The 6,052-nt window shown below is 33.3% G+C and overlaps 1 pseudogene; it reads left to right on the forward strand.

Moving 5' to 3' along the window:
• Window positions 1,411-3,242, forward strand: LOC100129144 (zinc finger protein 681 pseudogene; annotated as a pseudogene).

Here is a 6,052-nt window from a genome sequence, read left to right on the forward strand (position 1 = left end):
ACCTAATAACAAATCCCCAAAATAAATAAGGCAAAACTGAACATAATTGAAGTAAGAAATAAATAATTAAGCAATAATAAAGATGTCAATATCACAATTTTATCATGGTAAGAACAAGATGCAGAAAATATATATGTGTGTGTGTGTATCTATATATACACACAATATTATATATATACACAATATTATATATATACACAATATTATATATATATATATATATGTATATGTACACAATACCATACCACCTAGATTTCAACAAGTTTTCAGGATAATAAGTCAATGTGCAAACATCAATTGTATTTACACACATTAGCAATAAAAAACCAAAAAAGCAATTTTATTTAAAATACATCAAAAAGAATAAAAAACATTGAAATGAATATTTCAAAGTAGTGCAAAACTTGTAAATTGAAAAATATTGTTGAAAGAACAAAAGGAAATTTAAATAAAATGAAAGGAAACATACTCATGGATTGGCAGATGATATTTTAAGATAACAATAATTTCCAAATTGATCTACATATTTAAAGCAATTTCTATCAAAATTTCAGAGCCCATTTTCAGAAATTTGGCAAGCTGATTTAAAATCCATGTGTAATTTAAAGAAACTCAGAATAGTCAAAAATAAATTTTAAAAAGAACACTACCCAATTTAAAACCTTACTTCAAAGCTATAGTCATTTGAACAGTGTGATCGTGATATATGGATTAACATATACATAAATAAAACAGAATTGTGAATCTTGAAATAAACTCTAACTTTTATACAAAATTAGTTTTTAACAAAGTTTCTAAAACTATTCAATGAAATAAAAACTCTTTTCAATAAGACTGTATAAAAAAAGTATGTAGTTAGACTGCTTTCTCTCACCATATTTAAAAATTAACTCCAAATGGTTCAGAGACCTAATGAATAAGACAAATATATAAAACTATTAGAAGAAAATATAGCAGTAATACTTTCTACACTTGCATTAGGCAATTGTTTCTAATATACAATAATAAATCACAAGCTATAAAATATAAATCAATAAATTGGACTTCATCAAAATGAAAATCTTTTGGTCTCTCGCTGCAGCTGTAGCTCCAGGTCTTGTCTTTACTTCTCTGTGTTCTCTGCTCCTAGAGGTCCAGCTTCTGTGGTCCTGTAACCAGCAAGTGTTGGGAGATGCACAGCTAAGATGCCAGGGCCCCCTGAAAGCCTAGAAATTGTTCTATTTAATGTTATGGGCAGAAACATCCATGTCATTTTAATAAAGTGCCTAATGTGACTCTAAGGAAAAATTGAAATTTAGGGATGTGGTCATAGAATTCTTTCTGGTGAAGTGACAATGCTTGGACACCGCACAGTGGAATTTATATAGTAATGTGATGTTAGAGAATTACAGAAACCTGGTCTTCCTGATCCCCAGTTATGTGTTCTCATTTTTCCCAGGACTTTTGGCCAGAGCAGATCATAAAAGATTCTTTCCAAAAAGTGACATTGAGAAGTTATGGAAAATGCAAACGTGAGAATTTACAGTTAAGAAAACGTGGTAAATGTGTAGATGATTGCAAGGTGCAAAAAGGAGGTTATAATGGACTTGATCAACGTTTGCTGACTACCCAGCATGAAATATTTGAATATGATAAATACGTGAAAATGTTTCACAAATCTTCAAATTTAAATGGACGTAAGATAAGACATACTAGAACAAAAACCTTTCAAATGTGAAGAATGTGGCAAATTATTTTGCGTGTTTTCAAACCTAACTCAACATAAACTAACTTATACTAGAGTAAATTTCTACAAATATGAATACTATGGAAAAGCCTTTAATGGGTCCTCAATCTTTACTAAACAAACATAAAAGAATTCATATTGGAGAGAAACCCTACAAATGTGAAGAATGTGGCAACGCCATTAACCAGTTCTCAAACCTTACTACACGTAAGATAATTTATACTAGAGAGAAACCCTATAAAAGTCAAAAATGTGTCAAAGCCTTTAATCTTTCCTCATATTTTACTACATATCAGATAATTCAAAATGGAGAGAAACCCTACAAATTTGAAGAATGTGGCAAAGTCTTTAACCAGTCGTCAATCCTTACTACACAAGATAATTCATACCAGAGAAAAATTCAACAAATATAAAGAATGTGGCAAAGATTTTAACCAACCCTCATACATTACTGAACATGAGAAAATTCATACTGGGGAGAAACTCTCCAAAGGTACAGAATGTGGCAAAGCTTTTAACCAGTCCTCACACCTTACCAGACATAAGATAATTCATACTACAGAGAAACTCTCCAAAGTTATAGAATGTGGCGAAGCTTTTAACCAGTCCTCACACCTTACCAGACATAAGATAATTCATACTACAGAGAAACCCTACAAATGTGAAGAATATGGCAAAGCCTTTAGGCAGTCCTCACACCCTATTACATATAAGATAATTCATACTGGAGAGAAAACCTACAAATGTGAAAAATGTGCCAAAGCCTTTAACAAGTCCTCACACCTTACTAGACATAAGAGCATTCATACTAGAGAGAAACACTACCAATGTGGAAAATATGGCAAATCTTTCTATCGATCTTCAAAACTTACTGAACATAAAAAAATCATACTGGAGAGAAACTGTACACATGTGAAGATGTGGCAAAGCCTTTAATCATTTCTCACACCTTACTACACATAAGATAATTCATACTGCAGAGAAACCCTACCAGTATGAAAAATGTGGTAAAGCCTTTAATCAATCCTCACACCTTACTAGATAAGAGAAGTCATACTGGAGAGAAACCCTACCAATGTGAAGAATATGGCAAAACTTTTAACCAATACTCAAGCCTTACTGGACATAAGAAAATTCATGTTGGTGAGAAACTCCACAAACCTAAAAGATGTAACAATGATTTTGACAACACCTCAAACTTTTCTAAACATAAAAGAAATTGTATTGGTGAGAAATCTTAGAAATGTGAAGAATGTAACAAAGCTTTTAAATGGTTGTTACACTTGATTGAACATAAGATAATTCATACAAAAAAACAACTTGTACAAGTGTGAAGAATGTGGCAAAACTTTTAACCAATGCTCACACCTTACTGCACAGGAGATCATTTGTGCTTGAAAAAATCTTTACAAATATAAAGAATATGAAAAAGTCATTAATATCTGCTCACATCTTACTCAACATCAGAGAGTTCAGACTTAATAAAAGTAGTATAAATGCAAAAAAAAAAATTTTCGTACTTGAAAGTACAGCACTGAAAAAATAAAAAGACAATTCACAGAATGGAGGAAAATTTTCCAGGTTATTTATGTGATGAGGGATTTGTATCCAGAATATATAAGAGATGCTTACAACTCTATAATTAAAATAAAAACAGAAAATACTTCATTCAGTTGGGCAAAGGTTATCAGTAGACATTTCTCCAAAACAGATATACAAATGGCTACTAAGAACATAAGAATGCTCAACATCTTTAGTCCTTACAGAAATTAATATTAAAAACACAAAGAGTATTCCTCTTTTGGATTACAGCCTGAGGAATTCCATGAACCCTATACCCAGCAAATCAAGCAAAACTGGTCAAAATATTATGAAGAACAATTTTAAATGTTTGAAAATTGACTAAAGTGCAAAGAGCAAAGTAGAAAACATCTATTCAAGAAAATATACTAAAAATCAGTAATGATGCCCAGAGTCAAGAGAATTTGAGCCACAATCCATTCTTTCTCACCTTGCCCAACTCAACATTATGGAACTTCTACTCTCAGTAAGTATAGCAAAGAACCTTTCAATTTTAAGTAGAAGAGCCTAAATTTTTGGTGAGTATGGCCAAGTGGTAGGAATCTCACTTCCTCCACGCAGACCTTATCTAAATGATGGAAGCTGTACCAGAAGCATGGATGGCCAGCATAATAAAACTTTGACTGTCCTTGCATGAGCTTATTTATAAATGCAGCTGAGACAACCGGAGGGTATACCACCAAACCTATTGCTTAGAGAGCTTGTCCTGAGGGAACAGCAGTCTATAGGAAAAGAGAGTTCCTAATTTCTCCCAAACATAATTAACTTTATTTGAAGCATAAAGTGAGGAAGTTGAATCTTAAAGCCACTCTTGGAAAAAAAAAATAGTTATTCTTAGTTAAGGGCAGAAGCAAAACTATGGACCAGCAAGTCCACCAAAAAGAACCAGAGAAAGAGACAGTCAAGAGTCCTTCTGGTGTCAGAATAAATATCAAAGACCAACCTCAAAAACATCTTCAACTGAATTTAATTGAATCAGACTTCTAAGCAGTTTATGCAATGGGGGAATTGTCAAAAACAATAGAGCAATCAACTGGTAATTAACAGGGCCTGACTGGCAAGGTGCATTACCAAATGAAGAACACAGCTTAACAGAGAGATTAGGAAAATAGATTCTAAGAAATCCATTCTAATATCACAGGCATCCTAGGGTAACACAAAACACACTGAGGATTGTAGGATCTGAAAAATGAAACCAAAGTGACACTATTTCCTTCTCAATATGGAGCAAAAATATTTTCCTAAATTTACTAGAATACTTTAGCAAAGAAACAAAAACCAAATAACAAAATAAGCCACAAAGAGGTGTGGGAGAATTAGTATCCAAGGTTACTACAACATACTGCATAAAAAGTCCAGTTTTTCAAGAAAAAAAAAGTGACACATAATTTTTCTGGGCCACTTTGCCAACTGGGGAACTTCATGTCCAGTGACACACCCCACCCTCCCCCAGGTCTCACTCAGTCCTGGGCCTGTCACTGGAGGCACCCCACCCACTTGGCATGGCTGCATTATGGCTTGTACCTATGTTCAGCAGTTCCTGAGGTCTTGTCCTCCATCCAAGAAGAATGAGGATACACTGACAATTCAAAGGGTGAAGAGAGCAGAAGAGAATTTAACTAACTGACAGAGCAGCTATCAGTGGAGAGGGGATGAAAAGCTGTTCCCCCACCCCTGCAGTTGAAGCTTTTATGGGCTCAGAATAGAGGTGTACATGCTGATTGGTTTGTAAGTATGCAAAGAAAGGCTAAAGCAAAGTCACCACATAAGGTGGACATGACAGTGTCAAAAACCAATTAGGAAAGGGTAGATATATGTAAAATAGGTGAAGAGGAGGATCAATCAGAGGAAAGCATGCAAAACAGGAAGACAGGTTTTCAATCCAGTCCATGGATTTGACTTGTAGCTTGGCTTTCAAGTTTTAAACTGTCTTTGACTTTGAGGTCAGGTTTAACCAGGCACCCACCCCTATATGCCTAGACATTTGTCTGCCTCCTGCTGCTATCAAAAGTTCAAAACTAGCAAAGAAACAGAAATGTGTGCCCCATTCAAAGGAAAAAAATAGGCAATAGAAACTATCTGTAAGAAGAAAGAGATGTCAGATTTAACAAAAATTTCAATGCAACCATTATAAATATGTTTAAAGAACCAGAGGAAATTATGTTTAATTAAGAAAAGTAAGATATAAAGAGAAGGTCTCATCACATATATAATATAAATAAAAAGATGTAATATAAGTGATAAAATATAAGTGAAAAAGAATAATATGGAAATTCTGGAGTTGAAAATTACAATAACTAAACTAAAAATTTATTACAAGAGATCAGCAGTAGATTTGAAAAACCAAGAGAATGAGCAAAATTGAAGATATATCAATAGTTATTATGCAATCCATAAAACATAGAAATAATAAAATGAAGACAACTAAACACAGCCTCAGATAAATGTGGGGCACATGTAAGCACAACACAATGTAACTATTGAGTACTGAGATTAATAACTGGGTGATGTAGTAATATGTACAACAAACCCAAGTGACACGTGTTCATCTATGTAACAAACCTTCACATGTACCCCCACACCTAAAATTAAAATTTAAAGAAAAAATGAAAAATCAGAAAACTAAATTATATCACCAGAGAAAATCATCTTCACTAGAGAAAGACAGGAATGAAGGAAAGAAGAAAGAGAAAGCTGCAAAACAACCAGAAAATAATAAGAAAATGGCAGAAGTAAGTCCTCACT

Source organism: Homo sapiens, chromosome X (assembly GCF_000001405.40).
Source record: "Homo sapiens chromosome X, GRCh38.p14 Primary Assembly".
NCBI classification, from domain to species: Eukaryota; Metazoa; Chordata; class Mammalia; order Primates; family Hominidae; genus Homo; species Homo sapiens.